At 37.8% G+C, this 21,438-nt stretch overlaps 1 long non-coding RNA gene across 1 annotated transcript in view; it reads left to right on the top strand.

Moving 5' to 3' along the window:
* LOC107984626 (uncharacterized) overlaps window positions 1-20,997 on the top strand; it is a 142,002-nt gene extending 121,005 nt beyond the window's left edge. The window contains exon 4 of the long non-coding RNA XR_001750000.2: window positions 18,671-20,997. This is a non-coding gene — a long non-coding RNA (uncharacterized LOC107984626). The remainder of the gene's footprint in view (window positions 1-18,670) is intronic.
* The last annotated feature ends 441 nt before the right edge of the window (window positions 20,998-21,438 follow it).

The raw sequence follows: 21,438 nt of genomic DNA, 5'->3' as shown, positions 1-21,438 counted from the left end.
GGTCAGAAGTTAGAGAGTAGCCTGGCCAACATGGTGAAATCCCGTCTCTCCTAAAAATGCAAAAATTAGCTGGGTGTGGTGGTGGGTGCTGTAGCCCCAGCTACTTGGGAAGCGGAGACAGGAGAATCACTTGAACACTTGAACCCAGGAGGCGGAGGTTGCAGTGAGCTGAGATCACGCCACTGCACTCCAGCCTGGGCGACAGAGTGAGACTCTATTTAAAAAAAAAAGATTCTGAAACACTAATTATCCCTGTTATATGTCTTTTGTTTGGCTATTTTTCTTTCTCTGATGACTTCCATCTCTTTGACATTTTCCTCTTCATTCTGGGGCAGCTTTTCAAGCTTGTCTTCCATGCCACAGATTGAATTTTCCTCACTGTGAATTCTGCTCTTCACTGTCTCTTATATGGATTTTTGATCAGATGCCACTCTTAATTGGCTTACAATGTTCTATTTTCTCAGTTACCTTTCTTTTCTCTTCATCTCATTGTTTTAGCTTCACCTTGTTCTCTCCATAACATATTCTGCCCTGTGTTTTTCAGGCCCGGGCTTCAAGCATACTACCCAGAATGCTAAAGAGTTTCCTGAAATTTTTCTTCTATTTCACCATGTAGGTCATCGTTGCCAGAATGCTGTCTAAGGGAGTTTTAAGCATGATACTCCTTTTGCTTTATTTTCTAGTATTTTCCATAGGCCTTCTATTTGTTTTTTTACTGTTTATTCATTGTATCAGTTATCTATTGCCACAATAATGCTGTGTAACAAATAACTGCGATATATCAATGGTGTATATTGATGTGTATTTATTGCTGCCTGACATACACCTAAAAACATTTATTGCTGGGGGATATTCAAGTGATCCTGCTATTTTCGGCTTCACTTTTTCACATGTTTAGGAGCCGACTGAATATTGGTTGATGTAAACTGGTCTTGACTGAGTGGTCTGGGCCTGTTGCCCTCATCTCTCTTCCTCCTCCTGGGGCCAGTGGGTTGGCCTGAGCTTATTCCTCACACGTTTGGCCAAAGCAACTGTCATGGGCAAGTGTAGAGTCAGAATAGGAAGAACTGAAGAATTACTTGGCGAAAGGCATGGTTATGGGGAGGAGATGAAGAATGGAAGCTATTTTTGTAACATATCCCCTTCATCCTTAGATCTTCGTGGTGTGGCTTTCTAACACACAGGTCTTTATTTATGTTCCTATATGCCACGAGTACAATACTTTCTTTCCCCATAGCTTGTTTCCAAATATTATTAACCATTGAAGTACCCCTAGCATGCATTGATACCAACATTCTTCCTATCTCCCCTCACTTCTATAGAATATTACTTGGTACAGTTTGTATGATGCAATGAACCACTTCTAATTCACGTCTAATTTCCTGCCCAGGCTTTTCTGGAAGGTGCATGATTCTAGATCAAGCTGAGGGTGTATACCTCTGGGGCAAAAGGGCATAGATAGTTCCTATGATAGCCTAGGTGATTTTAAGGAAACGTGGGAAGTTTATGGAAAGCAGTTTCCTGAGCTTTAACTTTCCTGATAATCTTTTCTAAAAATGGATCTACCTAGAAACTGCTCCTGTCGTTTGCCTTTCTCTCTTCTCCCTTCACACTCACCCCTGTTCCACAAAACCAGGAAACCAAGATGTTAGTGCTGTGCTGTCTGAATATGTTAACAATGTCAACAAAGAAACAACCCCAAACCCAAATCAACCTGGGAATGCCAAACATGGGGATGACTGGAGAGTACATAGCCCTTAAGGAGGAGTTCCCTGAGAGCAAAGCAAAGACAACTTTGGGAAGAGATGGCTAAGAGGGCAGGACATTAATTTATCCATGTCAAAACCTCTTGGCAAGTCTATCTATCTATCTATCTATCTATCTATCTATCTATCTATCTATCATCTATCTTTCTATCATCTCAAAATTAAAATTGAAAACATAGAGCATTATTATGAAGGTATTAATTTATTTAAATTGAAATGTAAAGCCAGATTTTTTTTTTTTTTGAGATAGAATCTCACTCTGTCACCCATGCTGGAGTGCAGTAGCATGATCACGGCTCATTGCAGCCTCAACCTCCCCAGGCTTAAGCGATCCTCCCACTCAGGTTCCCAAGCAGCTAGGACCACAGCTGTGCACCACCATGCCCTGCTAATTTTTTTGGTAATTTTTTGTAGAGACAGGATTTCATCACTTTGCCCAGGCTGGTATTGAACTCCTGGGCTCAAGCAAACCACTCACCTTCGCCTCCCAGAGTGCTGGGATTACAGGTGTGAGCCACCGCACCTGGCCACAAAATCAGATTTTCATTAGATAGATGGTAGGTCTAATTTAGGTGATTGGTATTACTATGAAGACTAGATTCTCCAATTCAAAATTACTGTGAATATTTAAAACAAGTTGGATGATATACATACAAAGCTGTATGTTTTCAATGGAAGTATGTTTAATACACCCATACAAAACACCAGCAATCATACTTCGTAACAATTATAATTATAATAAAAATAATTTTAGATGTTTACTTAGAATGTGTCAGAGGGCACATTATTTTTCAAGACACTTTTAGGAGGAATATAAATAAACATGGGCAGCACCGGTGAGTTAGGATAGGAAGGCAACAACCGTGGTGGTGACGGCATTGAAGGGGCAGTACTGGGGTCAGAAACATCCTGTGTTGCAGAGAAAGAGATCTGCAGAGCTCTGAATATTTTGGGGTCTCAGAGAGAGACAAAAAAAATGTAAGTCTGGATGCCATATGCTTAAATTTTTAAAAGTTAGGAGACAGACTTAAAATGCTAAATAAAAGATGTTTTATTCTCTTTTCTTGAAAATATATCCTTAGAATGTCAAAATTGAAAAGTGTGTCCAAAGTTGTGGTTTTTATACAACTGAATGCTGGCAAAATGTGACTGAACTTCCGTTCCACTGAGAGACCAGTGATGTTTGAAGAGTGTAAAATGATGACACACACACTTTATACTTTTATTATGTACTCATAAGTTTTGTGCATCTTCAATTAAGCAAAATCACTTTGTTTTTATAATACAGACCTTCACAAGACTTTTGTTCTTTTAAGAGTAGTGATTGAAAGATAAAAAAAGTGACTGTATTCAGAATGTTCAAAATCTGGATAGATTTTGATTAAAATATAAAGTATTACGAAATGAAAGTTTCAGTTATTTTGATTTTTAAAGTTTTTTTCTAAAAATTCAAAATTGCCCATTAAACTAAATATGAAGTATAAATTATAAGTGATGATTACGAACATTTAAAATACATTTAGATAAAACTAAACACTAAAATTTTGATCTTTGAAAAACTTACATTTGCTTTTTTTCAAAAATCTACACTGAAATTCAACACACATATTCCAGTGTAACTTAAATTGTTCCATGACATGAGAATTCCTCAGCTACCATGTTCAGGTGGATCAAATCAATGATGAACAAGAAAATGGATGCCTGTCCCCATCAGAACGCAGCACTTCATCAATACAATACAATGGACCACAGTCTATTGCATTCACATGCCATTGCAGAGGAAGAAATTCATGTGTTATTAACTTGTTCTTCATTTTCCTAAGTGCTTCTGCTGGCTAATTTCTCCCTGCACCTCCACACTTTGTCCTTCTTGGATGCAAGCAGAGGCATACCTCACAAGCCACCAGGACATTCAAACAAAACTCACATCTGCTTCAAAAACACAGGCGAGAGGTGTGGAAAAGAGTCTCCAGGGAGCTGGAATGGTGCGACTCATGGGGCAAATCTCTGGTAAGGAGCAGCCCACGTGTGTCCCTGTAGAAGTAATCTTGGTGTATGTGTTTGTGACATGCAAGGCCCAGGGCTGGAGTCCGCTTTTGCCAGGGTTTGAGGGTGGCAGTGTTCTTGTTTTCCTTTGCTGGTAGAATAGCTGGGTCTCTGAATCAGGGAGTAGACAGTAGAGGGGTTAGGGGTGTTAAAAGAAAACTTCAGACAAGTTAAATTTAATGGAGTTTAAGTGAGAAAGAAAAGAGAAGAAATGATTCGCTAATAGGGCAGCCTCCAGAATCAGGAGATTCAGAGCGACTCCAGAGGTGCCTCATGGTCAGAACAAATTTATAGACACAAAAAAGGATTTGACATACAGAAATTGGAAGTGAGGTACAGAAACAGTGGGATTGATTCTAGCTCAGCATTTGCCTTATTTGAACACAGTTTGAACACTCAGCAGTCTATGAGTGGCTGAAGTATGGCCTCTGGGATTGGCCAACACTCAGTCAGCTATTGTTACAGGTGCATACTACTAAGTTAGGTTTTCAATCTTGTCTGCATACTAAGCTAGGTTACTGTTCCTCCACGAGGACTCAAATAAACAAGTATGGAGTGTTTCTCAGGCCATATTTAGTTCACTTTAACAGGAGACACCTTGCTACTTTTTTGGAGGTTTTCTTTGCTCTGGTTACTCTTACTGTGACCTGTGATGAAGGAAGAGGATGACATCCCTATAAAAGAATCAAACATTTTACTTTTTTATTTCACTTGCTTATTTGGATTTTTAGTAGAGACAAGGTCTCGTTATGTTGCCCAGGCTAGTCTTGAAATCCTGGGCTCAACCAATCTGCCCACCTAGGCCTCCCAAAGTGCTGTGATTACAGGCATGAGCCACCATGCCTGGCCCAAACTTTTTAAAGAAAGATGGGGATTAGACGTTGAATATGTGTTACTTTTTTAAAATTTAGGAGTAGGGATTCTTTAAAGACATTGTGATATTTTTTCACAAGAAATACTAAAACTAATTTGTAATGTCTTTATTGAGAATGGCTACCGTTATGTTTTATATGCTAATCTGCAATGAAGATTCTCAAAAGCCTTACATTCTGATTGTTTCTTATTTGATTACTTTTTTATTGCTAGTCACCAACCTTTAGATGTTGCTTTAACTATGAAAAATGGCAGTAAATTACTATGTGAACATGTTAAATAGCATTTAGAGAACTGAGAGTCAACTTGCCAAGCTTGTTAGACACAAACAGGAGTTAGCACGTACTGGAAGAATATCTCCATTTAGAGGATAGTGACTAATGTGAAATAGACACCTCTCAATTGTTTCTTTTATGTATCTACTTTTCAGCTTACAGTTTATTAACCATCAATGGTATATATGCAAGAGTCACTTTTAATTCATTTCTGTATGAATTGTTGTTTTATGCAAATACTTTTAGATAATGGCTTTCTAAAATAATAATCTCCACTGTGCAGAATACGTCACCCAATCATTGTGACCCAAATCATTGCAAACAGGGAGCAAGAGTCAATGATCAGTTAATAGAAAGATGTTAGTAATAAGGATGTAGTCAACAAAAATACTTAAACATTTCAGAACATCGTTTCATAAACCATTCATATTAAAGATTTAAAAGATTAAGGACTTAAAATACTTTTTGATATAGAAAGAAAGCCTCAGAACTTTGTTAAGTGATCAATAACTGCTCTTTATTCCCTCTCATTTTTCTTTACCTACTAATTAAACATCTTAGAATATAAAAGAGACATGTGATTTTAATAGTGGGTGAAAGAAGACTGAGCCAGAGATGATTAGACTAATAAATATATTTTTAAAACCCCTTCATTTTGAAATGAGGAAGCCAACTCTCCATTTTTTCCCTGAGCATTTAAAGAATGAAATGGTTTCACTGTCCCAGCAGGCTTCCATAATTCAAAAAAAATAAAAAGGACTGTGATTGGTTTTCGTGATTGGAAATTGATCTAATTTTTATTGTTTGCACTTAACATTATGATTTAGGACTTTTCTAAGATAAATCATCCTCATGTTTAATTTTTTCTGTTTGAGATGACTACTTCACATAGAATTTTTTTTGTTGTTTTTTGGTATCACTTTCTTTTTCAAGGAGTGTACTGTGTAATCACTGAACTCCTCTGTAATTACATGGCAAAGACTATGTAAATACGTAATTATGTTCATGCAGATTACTTGATAATTATACTTCCAGTTACCAAGTAATGAACGGAATAATCATCATGCACTTTGCAGCTCTTAGATTTTCAGCTTGGTCTTTGTTTTAAAGAAGGAGAGAACTGGATAATTACTCTATGGTTACATGGCACTTACATTGTCAACAACCATGTGTTCATAGTGCTATTACGTGGTTATTTTTTACCTTGTAAAATAAAGTGGTACTGCCTTTTAAAGAAGTCTTTTCCTGCTCTTTTCAGTAGGATTTCATGTCTCACACGACTGAATAGCAAGGCAGAGCTTCTCTTTTGTATACAGGGTGGCACTGAACTTGAACTGGAAGTCTCTGAACTTATTCTTTGCCAGGATAAAAATAAAAGGAGAAAAACATATGTATGTGAAGTTTTCTCAGTGGAACATAAAACACATAGTTATTAATCCTAAATCTGTAGACAGATTCCCTAGCCAACAATGATTTTTATTTGTTTTGTTCAGCTTATCGACAGTACTATTTAGCCGTGGTTCCCTCTGGCTGGAGTATGCGTCTCTCTTTATTTCAAGAATCAGCTCTGTTGGGTGTCCTTTGTGTGTACCCTTGCTCCTTCCTCTGTCCCTCTGTGCTTATGGCTCTGCTCCTGTTTTGTTGTAAAGACTTTACTCAGTGTCTTCCCTTCCAGCCTCTGTGACTGACCTCTTACCTTGTGTTTTCCATAGTCTAGTAGAGGGCATGGGTGTAAATAGTTTATGAACACATCTTTAATGAATCAATTAATTCAAAGACATGTTTAATATATTAGTTACATGACTGATTAATGAATTCCCAAATCACTATTACATTTCAAAATATTTTGGAACATTCATATTAAAAGTTTACTTTTTTAGAACATCCTTTGTCTTTGACTTTGGAAGATTAATGAAGTTTTACATAAAAATACATGACATTGGGCAGTGTGCAATGGCTCATGCCTGTAATCCCAATACTTCAGGAGGCCAAGGCGAGCGGATCACCTGAGATCAGGAGTTTTAGACCAGCCTGGACAACATGGTGAAACCCCATCTCTACTAAAAATGCAAAAATTAGCCAGGTGTGGTGGTGCACACCTGTAATCCCAGCTACTCAGAGGCTGAGGCACGAGAATAGCCTGAACCCAGGCAGCAGAGGTTGCAGTGAGATGAGATTGTGCCACTGAACTCCAGCCTGCACGACAGAACGAGACCTTGTCTCAATATTGAGATCCTGTCTCCATATCTATATATCTAGATATATATATATATCTAGATATATAGATATATATATATATCTAGATATATAGATATATAGATATGTATATTGAATTCATGCATTCATATAATTGATCTGGCATTTATGTAGCACACATACACATACATACATTATATTCAGTGCTCTGTGATTGGCACAGAGGAGATTCAAAGATACATAAGCTACTTTCCTATCTTTACTAACTAAACTCGCTATTCATGGAAGAAAAGAGGAACATCCATCTTAAAATGAATGATGATATAATGCAGAAGAAACTGGAACTGTAATGCAACTGTGATTAGGGCTTTCCCAGTGATTTTAAGGAATGTTTTATTTCACTGGCTAATTTTATCTTTCCAGAGCAAATTGACCCATGCCTATTCAAATAAATTAAACTTTCATTTTGCTTGACCCATATATGGAGGATTTATAATTAATTTTGCTAATTCACATGATTTTCTACAAAAAATGGCAAAACATACCATTGTGTTTCTGTGTTAACAAGCATTAAGTGACAATAACCATTTCTTTTTTTGCGCTTCAAGAAATGTGAACTTGTTTTTAAAAAGTTCTCTATAGTTTTGAAGCTAATTTTATAATATGATGAGTTAATGTCCATTTGGAATTTGTATGAACCCTGCTAGAAACTTTTTTTGAAATTTTAAATTCAAATGTATTAGTGACATCTCCAGGTGTTAAATACGTTTGTTATTTCATATTTGAAAATTAACAAATTAAAAATAAATAACAGCAGTGAATTTGTGAATGAATAAAAAAAAGAAGAAAAAATCCAAATAGACATGAGAAGTTAGTATATGAAATTTGCATTTAAATAATTAGGGGAAGATAGCAACCTGGAAAAGGATAAAACTAGATATCAACATTACTTGTACAGCAACACAAATTAGAACTCTCTTAAATACTGAATGCAAGAAATGAAATTATAAAATAGCTAAAGCAAAATGTATAAAAGAGCTAATATTATAGTGGAAAAGTCATGTTAACTACGACCATAAAAGAAAGTTAGAGAAGTTTGATTATATAAATATTCATAGCATAAAATGAATTATTTTTTTTTATTGTGTAAAAGCATTATAATTCAATAAAAGGATTAACCATATGAAAGGTAAAACAAGTTTACAGTCAGAGAGAAAAACACACACACTCATATACAAAACTGTCAAAGCAGCAAAAAGATCCTTTTAAGCTAGTCAGAGTTAAAAATATATTAACCAAATTAGAGTGCATAAAACACTTTATTGACAAGGGTGTGGATAATCCAGCCATTCCTAAACACTTACTTGGTGTGTAGCATGATGGGTATTATTTCCACAGCACGTCAGTCTGTCTTACATGGCATCTGATTTCCAAGAAGAGGAAGCAGCTTGTCCCCCTAAAGTCCTCAGCCCAGAAAGGGACTGTTGTGCTTCTGCCATATTCTGTTGGTTAAAGCAGTTTCAGGGCCAGCCCAGATTCAAGAGATGAGGAAATATACTCCACTTGTGCATGGAGGGTTAGCAAATAATCTGCAGCCATCTTTAGTCTTCTCTCTTCATTTCTTTTTCTATTATATTTATTTCTATTTTTTTCTATTGAACAACTTTCATAATGTCCGCCTCTGGGCAAAGAGACTGAGAGACTAGAGATTTGGGATTAGAGGGACACAGTTTTCATTGTTTTCCCTTTTATACTGTTTGATTTAAACATTACAATGCTTATGCTTTATATGATTGATTTTTAAAGACAGCTTATTTTCTTCTTTTTTACTTTATTTCTAAAATTGACATACAATAATTGTACACATTTATGAGGTACCTAGTGGTGTTTTGATACGTATAACGTATAGTGATCAGATCAGGGTAATTAGCATCTCCATCACCATAAATATTTATTGTTTCTTTGTGTTGGGAACATTAGCTATCCTCCTAGCTAGCTCCAAACTAGCTAGCTGTTTGAAACAAAATATTATCATGAGCTATATTCATCCTACAGTGCCAGGTGACACTAGCATTTATGACTCCAATTATTCCTCCTATCTGGCTGTAATTTTGTCTCCTTTAACAAATCTCTCTCTATCCCTCTTTTCCTCCACCCTTCCCAGCCTCTAGTATCCTCTGTTCTGCTTTTTACTTCTATGAGATCAACTTTCTTTGGTTCCTCTTACAAATGAGAACATGCCGTGTTTAACTTTCTGACCTATTGAACTTAGTGTCCTCCAGTTCCATCCATGTTGTTGCAAATGACAAGATTTCATTCTTTTTTATGAGTGAATAGCATTCCATTGTGTACACATCCACATTTCTTTATCCATTCCTCTGTTGTTAGACATCTAGGTTGGTTCCATATGTTGGCTATTGTGAATAGTGCTGCAATACACATGGGGGGTGCAGAGATCTCTTTGATATGCTGATTTCGTTTCCTTTGGATAATTGCCCAGCAGCGGTATGGCTGGATCATACCGTGGTGCTATTTACAGTTTTTTGAGGCGCCTCCATACTGTTGTCCATTGCGGCTGTACTAGTTTGCATTCCCACCAACAGTGTATGAGAGTTCTTTTTCCTTCACATTCTCACCAGTATTTGCTATCTTTTGTCTAAAAAGACAGTGTAGTTTATATGTTATGAAAGCTCTCCAAGATGCACTATAAATTTTAAAAGTAGGAAAATACAGTATATAATGTATTTACAATATATACAGAATTTTTTTATTTCTCAAGAGTTGGATCCTGATGCCTCATTTGTGTACGTGTACGTATGTGTGTGTAAATGTGAAAATGGTGTAACATACTGTAAACACACACACACTGATAAGCAATGGCTGTAAGCAAAGTCATATGGGTAAATAGAAGAAAGAGCAATGTCTTCTCTACTGAAAGTATCACAAACATGTGAGTGCTGGGCTAAGTCTTCTCCATGTGGATTTTTACTATCTTCATCAAAACACTTGCGGTTTCAAACTAGTGTACTGCAAAAGATCAATGAACCTTTATCTTCTGATGGTGTGTTGTATGTGTACCATAGAGGCTGATAGCACGCAGAACCGGTCTGACTCAGAGCCACAGCTCATTTACAACATGGAGATATAATACAGAGATACACTTGGGCACTTTCTACAAAAATGTTTAGTCTCTTATCTGTATTACTGGAAATTTAAGCTTCTGTCTTAGAGTTAATTCTACTATCTGTTTCTGGTTTGAGAGTGAATTCAGGTCAATATAGATTCCTGAGAAATCCAGGGTATAAAATTCAATAATGAGGAAGATATCTTCATTCTTGTAGTCTACGTCTACAGGCTTACAAAATGGACAATGAAGACAATCTCATTTGCTGAACGGACTTGCAGTTCCTCTTTCCCTCCCCATTGGCGGTCCCAGACAATTAGGCAGTATCTTTGCCAGGTCAGTTGTTTTAGATCAAAGACTAAAGATGGGTAATTCATTCTGGTCCTTAATCACTGGAGCACTGGTCCTTGCAGTGCCAGTTCAAAGCCGGTTAATACTTAGTTTTAGGCTGAGAAAAGACAAAAAAATCTCAAAATATGACAACAATTCTAGGCATCTTCTGACACTGAATGATGCAGCAGTTCTGTGGAGACTCCAATTTTCAGACACTGTCTCCACTCCCCTCAGCACCACTTCGCACTACTTTTTGTCTCTGCCTCCTTCCTTAATCGTTACAATTCTTTTGCCTGTGACGATTCTAAAGTTATTGTTTGCATGGAATTTTCAGATACTGGGGAATGGAAAGAACTTCTCATTCCTTTCAGGAGCTATGGATAAAAGAGCAGGGTTTTCAGAGCTTCTCCCACACACAATACATAAGAAGGAATATGTGTTTGACAGTTCCATGAAAATTTTCTTTGCCTATTCACATGCTTTGGATCAATGACTTGTTTAATAAATATTGGTCAGTGACCTCTGAAATCTCCCATTATGCTCTAGATCCTTAGGAAAAGTGAAAATATCCTAAAATGTTAATGCCACTATTCTTGACCGAGGATCTATTAAGGGCTACAGTGAATCAGCAAGTTTCCAGCGTCTATGTACACAATGTATATTTGGGGTTTTAAGTGATATTTTGGAGAGGGGATCCCTAGTTTTCAGGAGCTTCTTAGGCAGGGCAGTTGCTCCACAATAGGTTAAAAGCATTTTACTATAGTATTTGATACTTCACTATTATTTTTGACCAAGTGAAATAACAGGTTTTAAAATGCTTGGGCAGGACAAAGACCTAGACACTTATAAATTATTAGTATTTATGTAGGATGTGCATATGTGTAGTGGGGAGGATGTGTTATTGGTACAGAAACTGCATTTCCTTCTTGTGTGCAATTCAGCTATGATCAATGAGTGCTATTACTTGTTGTAGGATCTATTTAGTGTGATTACTTAACTCACCCACCACATCTGATGGAATTCAGACGTGAAAAAATTTGTTTTGCCACTTCTAGGAGCAATTTGAATGTAAGACACAGGATTCTGCTTAGCCAGGCTTATTACTTATGAGAGTTGTCTCCATTTGTTTTCATATTTTTCAAATTTTAAACATCCTCTTTGTTTCAAAAAATTCATAACTTCTTATTTAAAAATGAAAGGTTTTTTTCACTGGCCATCAAACTAGTTGATACTATTGGGTTGAGGGTCTATGGGAGCCAAAGCGGTGGCTAGGCCACACTGCACACATTATTTTTAGTTTTTAGAAAATAAGGTTATTTTAGGTACAGCGGCATATGTGCCAGTTTGTTACATAGGTAAACTCATGTCATGGGGGTGTGTTGTACAGATTATTTCATCACCCAGGTACTAAGCCTATAGCCCATAGTTATTATTTTCTGTTCCTCTCATTCCTCCCACCCTCAACCCTCAGGGAGGCCCCAGCATCTGTTGTTTCTTCCTTTGGCACATGTTATTTTAAATGTCAGAATACCAAAAGTGCATCACTTCAGACAGACTAGGTTATGCTGTGATTATAAACCAACCTCCAGTACTTTGTGACTTAAAACAGCAGTGATTGTTTTCTCTGTTTTTTTTTGCTCACTTTATATGTCCATTCAACTCAGCACTGCTCTGCTCCATGTCATTTCCTCCTAGGGATGTGGCTGACAGAGGCCCCTTCACCTGGAACGTTGACCATCATTGTGGCAGTGGAAAGAGAATCAGCAAATTGTGCAGACTGTTAGTCGTTGCTGCCTTGAAGTGAAACATATCAATGTGCTCACATTGGATGCCATGCATTAGTAAAACAGTCACTGCCTAATTCCAGGGGAGTGGGAAGTTCAATCGACCCTATCATGTGTCCAGATAGGACAAGTGGAATATTGCTGAGCAGCGAAGGGACTGCTGTAGCAAAGGAGGGATTGTTTTGTTCATTTCACACATGGTGTATCTAAAGAGAAGAGAGCTTAGGTAACGTGGGTAAGGTCAATAGCCGGAATGTGGGCAACATGTTGCATAATGAAGAATTGTTGCTATGAAGAAACAATTATTGGAAAATATGAAAATACTATCAAACTTCAAATTAACTTAATGACCTAAGGATACTTAGGAGGACATTGAATTGTTCAGATTTCCAATGCAGCAATGATCAGTCCCGGAGCCTATGATAAGGTCCCTCAGGACACATGAATGATTAACCCCTTTTTCCCCCCCGACTTCCTCCCAAGTAGTTCTGTCATCTTGGGCAATTGTTTGATTGTCTAACTTTGCTGAGCCTTGAGTTTCTCCTCTAGGGTAAAGCTGCTGGGTTTGCGGGAGTCCCTTTCTACACTGACAACCTAATGTACTCAGTTGAATGCTTGGTTTCTGATCAGCTTGGAGTTTATATAAAGTTTATATATATATGTATATATATATATATATATATATATATATATATATATATATATATATATTTTTTAGACAGAGTCTTGCTCTATCGCCCAGGCTGGAGTTCAGTGGCACCATCTTGGCTCCCTGCAACCTCGACCTCTGACTTGGAGTCCTCCTTTTTCTGTTTGATAGATGAACCTGAGACCCAACAAGTGGATTCTTAATTTAGACTTATTCGAAATTCTAGCATTACTCCTTAGAACTCCAGGTTTTTCAGATATTACTAAAGCAGTTTCAAAAGTTTCCCACTCCTCAAAGTAATCTTCCTCATCAATGATTTTTATAAATGCAATCCGAAATTAAGCTACTGTTTTTGAAAGCACTTAGTCATTATTGCGATATGATATCCTGTTCAACAAGCAATTTTTGAGTATCTCAATATGTGGAACTACCATACTGAATGCTGGCTATGGACCACTTTCTACCCTTAAGGGCCTTGGTTTATCATGCAGAAATTAAGACAAAATTTTAGAGTTATCAGTTACTTGGATAATAAAACATTGCCTTTTGAGTAAAAATTATAGATTTAATATAGAATAAAAGCAATTTTGAAATACACACACACACACACACACACACATACATCTTCAGTTTTCACCAAAAACATTTTTAAGGCATAGTTTAAAAAGATATCTTATAGACGCAAAATAAACTAGAGATAAAACATCAGAGCAGAAATGATTATGCATTTGGATTATCTTAAAGTCAAAATCTAAGAAGAGTGTAATACAGAATTATGTTTGTTTTTTTCCACACTTCTTTACAGTAAACATCTTTATTGAGTCAGTACTGTACAGCCTGATAGTCAGTTTCTCCCACTTTCACTTGGAAGAAATAATGGTGAGAGTCTCTTCTGCTGGTCCATTTCCCTGTACTAACGTGTCCATAGACGAGACCTCAGCCCTCATCACCTGGCAGGGGATCAAGAGACTGAGAGCCTCCTGGTGTCCTGTCAGAAGGCCCTGAGGCACGCTGATGCCTTTTACATTAGAGGCAGGACCCTTCCGTCTTCATCAGCGATGATATACAGCCCCAGGGAAGCATCGCGTGTTCTGGGGAAACGCACCAGGAAAGAACAGTGCCTCAGACAGGCAGCTTTTCAAATGGCAGTCCTGGATGTGCAAATTCCTGAAAGCTCATTGGAGTTTTTACTTTCAAGACAATTTCAGAAGGTAATAGGGTAAGTTTTTTGCATTGTCAAACATTCATTTCAAAGACACTGCACAGTAACACAATGGCCAACCCAAACACATTAAGATCAGAATTAAATAAGACTAAATGAGGTAAATAAGTGAAAGTGCTTAGTAACTTTTGAATGCTACACAGCAGTTTAATATTTAATTATTATTTGATTTGCAGTTTTGGTTTCATATCTTTTTAGAGGTGATACCCTTTGGCTGCGAGCAAAGAAATTTTTCTCAATGTGTATAAAGGGCTATTCAAGAAGCTCACATCTACTAAAGTAAAAAACAATGTATTGTCCAAGCAAGAAATATCTTTTCAGAGCTGGCTTAAAGAATAATTTTGTCAGGATTGTGATTAACAAACTCAGGTTCTGTCGATCCCTCTTGTTGCTATTACTACTCCCTTGTCTTCTCAGAGAACTCTAGAGTTCACTAAGCAATTTCTTGTTTGTGGTTTTATCTGAGCTTCATGATAACATGTTAAGATAGATGGGGCAGGTGCTATTATCCCCATGTTATAGATGAGGAAATTGACTCTTGGTGAAGCCAGAGGATCAACAAACATCGTACAGATACTAATGAGTTGGTAGCAGGTCAGATTCCATTATCTTGAATTCACAGCTAGTACTCTTTCTAGCAAAGGAGTGATGAACCATGAGGACAAGCTTCATGAGGACGAAGATCATGTGTCTGTTTTCTTCTTTGCTGTATTTCCACAACTTAGCATTTGATGACCCAGAGAATGCACTGTGTAAATGTGAACTGATTCACTGATGATGTTCAGATAATTATCTTTCTCTAATTCTATAAAGTTAAATATTTTTGAGAGAGAAGAGACATCATCATTAGGGAAGTGCTTATCTCCAGGGAAATACTCAACTTATCGAAAAAGGTGCTGGCACTCCAATACATTATAGTTTTTTATTCCGTCAGATTTTTTATCATCAAATGATTCCATTGAAAAGTGTCATTTATACTCCAAAGCCCAGGAAATAAAAAAAATCTCATCTGTCAATGAAACATAAAATCGAGCCTGAGTTTCAGTTCACATTTGCCACTTTAAAACGTTCCTGAAAAGAATAAATAAATCAACAATTATATGTAAAGATGAGAAACAGCTTAACTTTGAGGAAAAAATAAGCATCTGGTAGGAATTTGGATTCACTGTCTCTTTCTTGACCTATCTGTATCCTATCCCTCCCTCCCGGTCACCTTCTTGCTCTAGCCACAGCTGTTTATCATTTATAAGCTCCTCTGACATGCATTGTCTACACTATTTGGTAGGCCAGAACAGAGACTATATGTGGCTGGGATAAGCTAAGCCTATTTTCCGGAAGCGAAAAGAGCAGAAAGTTAGAAGAACCCGTGCCGCCGAGATTATGGGGAGGTAGACCCCACAGGGCCATGGTTGCTAAGCCTGGGATATAAAACGAGGGCTTTTTTCTTTTTTTCTTTTCCAGAGAGATCAACTGCTGAGTCTGTTTATGGGAACTAGAACAGAAAGTACAGGAAAGATATCCTCTCTTTCTTACAACCTGATCTAACTCATTGTGGAGATGCTGAGAGCCTGCTCTGGGGCTTCCTCACGTTCCTGATTGAGAAATGAAGGCCCTGGAGCCACGAGGCGGCAGTGTGTGGGGAGGGGCAGCACAGATCCCTGAGGATCCCAGAGGCAGACGCTTACCAGTGCTCTAACCTGTACTGGATTTGGGACACGCTGGTGCCTATCACAGTAAAACCGGCCATTTGGTAAAGTGAGGCAGAAGGCGAGGGCCTGAACTTAGCTCCTCCAGCCCTCTTGCAGTTGGCTGGGATCCAGGAGCTCATGGTCTCTGGGGACAGTTGTGTAAAGTAGCTGATGATGCTGGTTGGAGAGCTTGCTCAGGGCATTGCTATAGTCACAGAGCAGGAGGCCTGTGGGCTAGGGATGGCATGAGATACTCAGGCAGACTTGGGTGTATGCAACAGGGCATGCAAGCCTTCATGGGGGCTGAGCCAGGGGGTGCCCAACTGATTTAGAGCCAGTCCAGAAGGAACAGGCCAGAACTCACAAACTGTAGGCATCCCCACCACTGCAGGCAGGCAGAGCCATGACCACAGCACCAGGAACATTTTTGCCTTAAAGGCCAGAGAGGGCCAGGCATGGTGGCTCATGCCTATAATCCCAGCACTTTGGGAGGCCGAGGCGGGCCGAACACGAGGTCAAGAGGTCGAGACTATCCTGGCCAACATGGTGAAACCCCATCTCTACTAAAAATAGAAAAATTAGCTGGGCATGGTGGCCATGCCTGTAGTTCCAGCTACTCAGGAGGCTGAGGCAGGAGAATTGCTTGAACCCGGGAGGCAGAGGTTGCAGTGAGCTGAGATCATGCCACTGCACTCCAGCCTGGTGACAGAGCGAGACTCCATTAAAAAAAAAAAAAAAAAAGAAGAAGAAGAAAAAGAAAGGCCAGTGAGGACCCAGAGAAGAACATGCATGAGACTCCCCGTGGTGACCGCAGCAATAGCTGCCATTGTTGGGAGCTGTGGAGGGGTAATTCTTTAAGATATTGAACCCGTACCTGAGAGCTTGTAAACTAAGAGGAGATGGAACGAGAAGCATGAAAGGTATGATTAACTGGCAAATTTGTTTCCTTGCCCTCAGTGGAGTGAGAGCATGCAAGGAAGATGAAATCAATTCTAGAAAAAACACAGAAACCTCACTTTCTTTGCACGTGTGAGTATATTAAATTCATTTGCGTCATGTAACATGTGTACTGCTTTGGAATTAGAAAGTGAAATGAAGGATTTTGTTTTAAATCTTGAAAATATTATCCTTAATCCTGTAAGATCTCAGAGGACTGTTAACCCACTTTACAGATTGTGCCAATGACTAAAAGAGCATTGGAGCTTGACGGTTTGTTTACTTTTCTATGGTTTCTGAAAAAAACATGCTTCACACATGGATTGCCCATGCTGAATGTCTGGGAACTAATCAGTCTACTATATGTGGTTATATTTATGTTTGCATAGCTATTACATATGATAAAGGTATTGAACAAAAAGATATAGCTCTAACAAGAAGATATAGTCCTAGAGCAGAACTGAGACATTCATCACCAGGGTACAACTTTTCGACCCTGGTGCTGTTTCCAGAGTGCACTCTGCAACTGGATGTTACATCCGTGTCTGCTTTGCTCTGTCCACTTCTCCTGTTCACTGCTTTACACTCTGGATGGTTAATAAATTAACAAATTCTAATTAGGTTAATTTAGACACACCAGCCAAAAGAATCATAATTTCCTTCAAAATAATAGAAAATATTATTGATTTGCAATGTCTCTTTAAAACCCTAACTTATTAGATGAGATAATAAATATCTGGTATGTGAGAGGGAGGACCTACGTATTGGAGAGATTTTTGATTGATATCGATAAATGCTACTACCATCATCATGGATCAGTACTTACGGTTTGCAAATGAAAATTTGTCTATACCAACTTAAGGTAAGTTTTGCACCAGTAAAAACACAGTTAAAAGTAGTGAATAATTCTGCTTTTACCAGTCAAGCCAGTTTGCAGGCTAACTAGCCTGAGTTACTTGGTTAGATTAAGTCACATCATTCAATTGAATTAGGATTCCTATTACAAGCAGAGAAATCCCTTCAAATGCCTTTCATCAAAAGGCTGCTTTATTCATATTGGGGTGACCTTTATTTTCCCTCCCTTTCCAGGGGAGAAAGACATAAAAGAAATACGAGTTGGCTTATCCATTCTGCCCTGGCGGATTGCTCCCCATTTGCTGTGAGCTGGAGTGCTGCCCTAGCTCCGGCGCACCAATGCCTCCGTCACACAGAAGCAAGGCCAGGCAGGGCAGCGTAAGTGAGTCTGGAGATTAGCGAGGGATTTTTAAAAGCACCAGAGAGGTGTTATTAATCCTTTGAAAGTGTGAGCCTTTCTGATATGGCAGCCCGACTCCTGGGAGAAATTGCGCAGGCTTCTGTGTACTTGATAAGGAGCACATAAAGTAAAATGCAATGAACTTAATGACCCAGAAATTATTATTAGAGGAAATTAATACCATCTTCAGGAGATTTGTGGCACTTAACATAGCATTTTGAAGGAAGTAAAGATTCTTTTATATCAAGCTGCCTTTCATTTTAAGTATAAACATGTGCATTTGCATTCTGTAATATGAAGATTAAAGATCTGGCTTTGAATTAGCAAAGATTATTTAGCGTCGAGACAGGAGCTCACAGGGCAATTGTGGGGTGGGTTTCTGAGATACGTGTGCATTCTTGAGATCTTCTCTGGTTCTCTTCTCACCAATCATTTTATATTGTTGGCTATAATTTTCATTATTTCCAAAGATATTTTTCAGAATCAGACTTTTTTGTTTTGTTTTTGTTTTTGTTTTTAACAGGAAAGAAGTTTTAGTCGATTACTATTCTACGTGGCTATTGCAGCGCCGCACAATACACACATCCCTGTCCCTGAAGCCCATTTGTCCCCTCCACTCAATGTCAGTTCATCTGTTGAGAGAGGTGACGAGAAGGGAGAGTCTGTAGAAGATATGATTTCCCTCGGCGAGTTTTCCCCTTGTCAATTCCATCGTTTCCGGATTGGGTAGCCACCACCACTTTCATCAGGGGCTGAGAAATGGAGATGAACTGTGCTTCCATTTTTATCTGTGCTGGAGATGGAGGCCACAGTCCTGCTGTCATTTTCCGTGAGTGCTCCCCCATTGCGGCTGGTAAACCTCCCTGGCAAACAATCCATCTTATGCATGGAAGCATACAATTTTAGAGCTAGAAATAACCTAAAACATAATTTAGTCAGAGGCCTTCATTGTATAAAAGAGACTCAACCTAGAGAAATTAAGTGAGCTACTCAAAGCCATACAGGTAAAGGCAGATAAAAGAATGAGAAAGCAGATTTTTCTTATTCCATCGAGATTTATTATTTTTTAAAATTTTTTTCTGGGACTCTACCCTTACTCAAGTTTCAATTAGCCTTTTCCAACAGGGTGACTGAAATTATTTTAAAACGGTAGAGTTATATGAGATAACAATTTTCTCTTGTAATTATCTTGCATTTGTTCTCTTCCAAGAGACAAGATGGTGGTCAGGGGAAGGAGCAGCAATGAGCAACAGGGACAGTCATAGGTCCTGAAAGTCTTCACTCAAGAGACCCAAGTGCCTTTTTGTGTGAAATCTACCACCTAAGTCATTTCCTAGAGGCCTTCATTCAGAGGGGAGATTAACAAACCCCTATGACTCTTCATCCTTTTTTTATTCTAGGATAGCTAAGATCTGCAAGTCTGATGAGAGGAGATTGGGTCTATTTATTATACAAATTAGCTAATTTCTTCTTCATGGAGTTTTGCAGATTCTAGGAGTGAACTCATATGGAATAGAACCAAGTTTCTTGCTAAGGAGTCTGAAGAGTGTCTTTGTCAAACAAAATTAAGCCAACATATAATTGTCATTTGCTTTATTCTTATGGAAATTGAACATTAGCATGTGCATAATTGATCTGAAGTCCAGACACATCAAAGACATTAATCTATGTATGTATCTATGTGTTTTTAATCTAATTATAAGGAGCTCCATATGTTATTACTCAAAACTTGCTTTTGCTTATTTTATTTTATTTTTTTAATTAAAGGAAATGTCTATTATTCCATGCCCCTGTGTCTGGCTTTTAAAAATCTCTTTCCTTTTTTTTCTCAAATGACCAGAGCTGCAGTTATCAGCCTCTCTAGGGCTCTTGAACTGAACACTTATTCTTTTAAAAATCATCAACACGGGATCTGTTGCCAAGAAGAGAAGCCAATTCTTGTCTCCATGCTCTAGGAAGTGTTTTCTTTGTAGTACTGTTGGCATGGAGGTGAAGAGCCTGGAACTCGATACTGAAATCTCAGTAACAGAGCTGCCACTGGGTACAGTTTATTTTGGAATTAAAGCAAATACATCCAGAAATTGTACTCAGGATATTCAAATACGAGTAATGAAACATTGTAAATGTAACCACAACTATATCTTATGGGAGATCAATAGAGAACTAAGTGTATTTGCTCTATTAGCACAAAGTATACATAGATATGCTATTACATCAATAATTTTACCGAAGTAGGAAAGAGTATTCAGAAATTAGAACAAAAATGAACTGTATTAACTGTAATTGACTGTAAAATATTTTAACTTCATAAAACCACATATATTATCAGACATAGTTAGATATTTGGTTCTTATTTCTTCTGATGATTACAGATTAAATAAGAATTCTTATTTTAACAAGACAATCAGAAAGAGAGATGTATAAAGGAGGGGCTGAGGGCAGTTCTAATATAACCTGAAGAGTTGTGGGTTCTTTTATGTATTTGGTATGTGTGTAGCTCTGTGTTTTATGTATACATGATGTAGAGAAAGTATATGTTTCTAATATTACCTGTTAGTGTTCGGAAAAAAGTGTTACAAAATATGGCAAAATGTTCTTGCATATGTATAATTCTGCAAAAGGTGAACAGATGCTTGTTTTGGTAGATTTTCCCTGCTTTTGCTGCTTTTAGTATCGTTCTTCTAACCTGCTTTTAATAGATGTTGCTAAAGTTTTCTAAGATAAGTGAATTAGTATTTTCTTTTTCTATATTGATGTTAAAGCTGTCTTTATTTGAAAAGGGAAGGTTTATAAAGTTGAGATGTGTTACTGGAGTTACAGATGAGATGTTTTAGGTTGTGTGTGCTTGGATGTGTGCAGAACGCTTTTTGCTTAGGCACCTAGGCAGTTGTTGTGGATTCATGTATGTGTGCTTATGTGTGTGCATGCATGTGTGTACATGAATGTGTGACTGAAAAAAAAAAACATTTCTTTCTGGGACCGTACGCCAAGAACAATTTTAATAATAGCTTTTATATGAACATTTGCATTCTTACAACTAATTTAAAAAATCTGTGTTTGATCCCCAACTGGATCACGCTGTATGAAGACTTTTTTAGTAAAGTATTTTTAAAGTTTTAAACCCAAAAAAATGTTTGCTACCAAAAAAAAGTCTGTATAGCCAACTGTCTCTTAAGAAGTCTTACATTACAAACTTAAAATGTCTAAAACAGGACACTTGATTCCCCTACAGCCTGACCCTCCTGTAATCTTCATCATCTCAGGAATGACACCAGCACGTTGTTCATATGA

Source organism: Homo sapiens, chromosome 13 (genome assembly GCF_000001405.40).
Source record: "Homo sapiens chromosome 13, GRCh38.p14 Primary Assembly".
NCBI lineage: Eukaryota > Metazoa > Chordata > Mammalia > Primates > Hominidae > Homo > Homo sapiens.
Note: the sequence above shows the minus strand (reverse complement) of the source record. Positions and strands in the feature narration are given on the sequence as shown.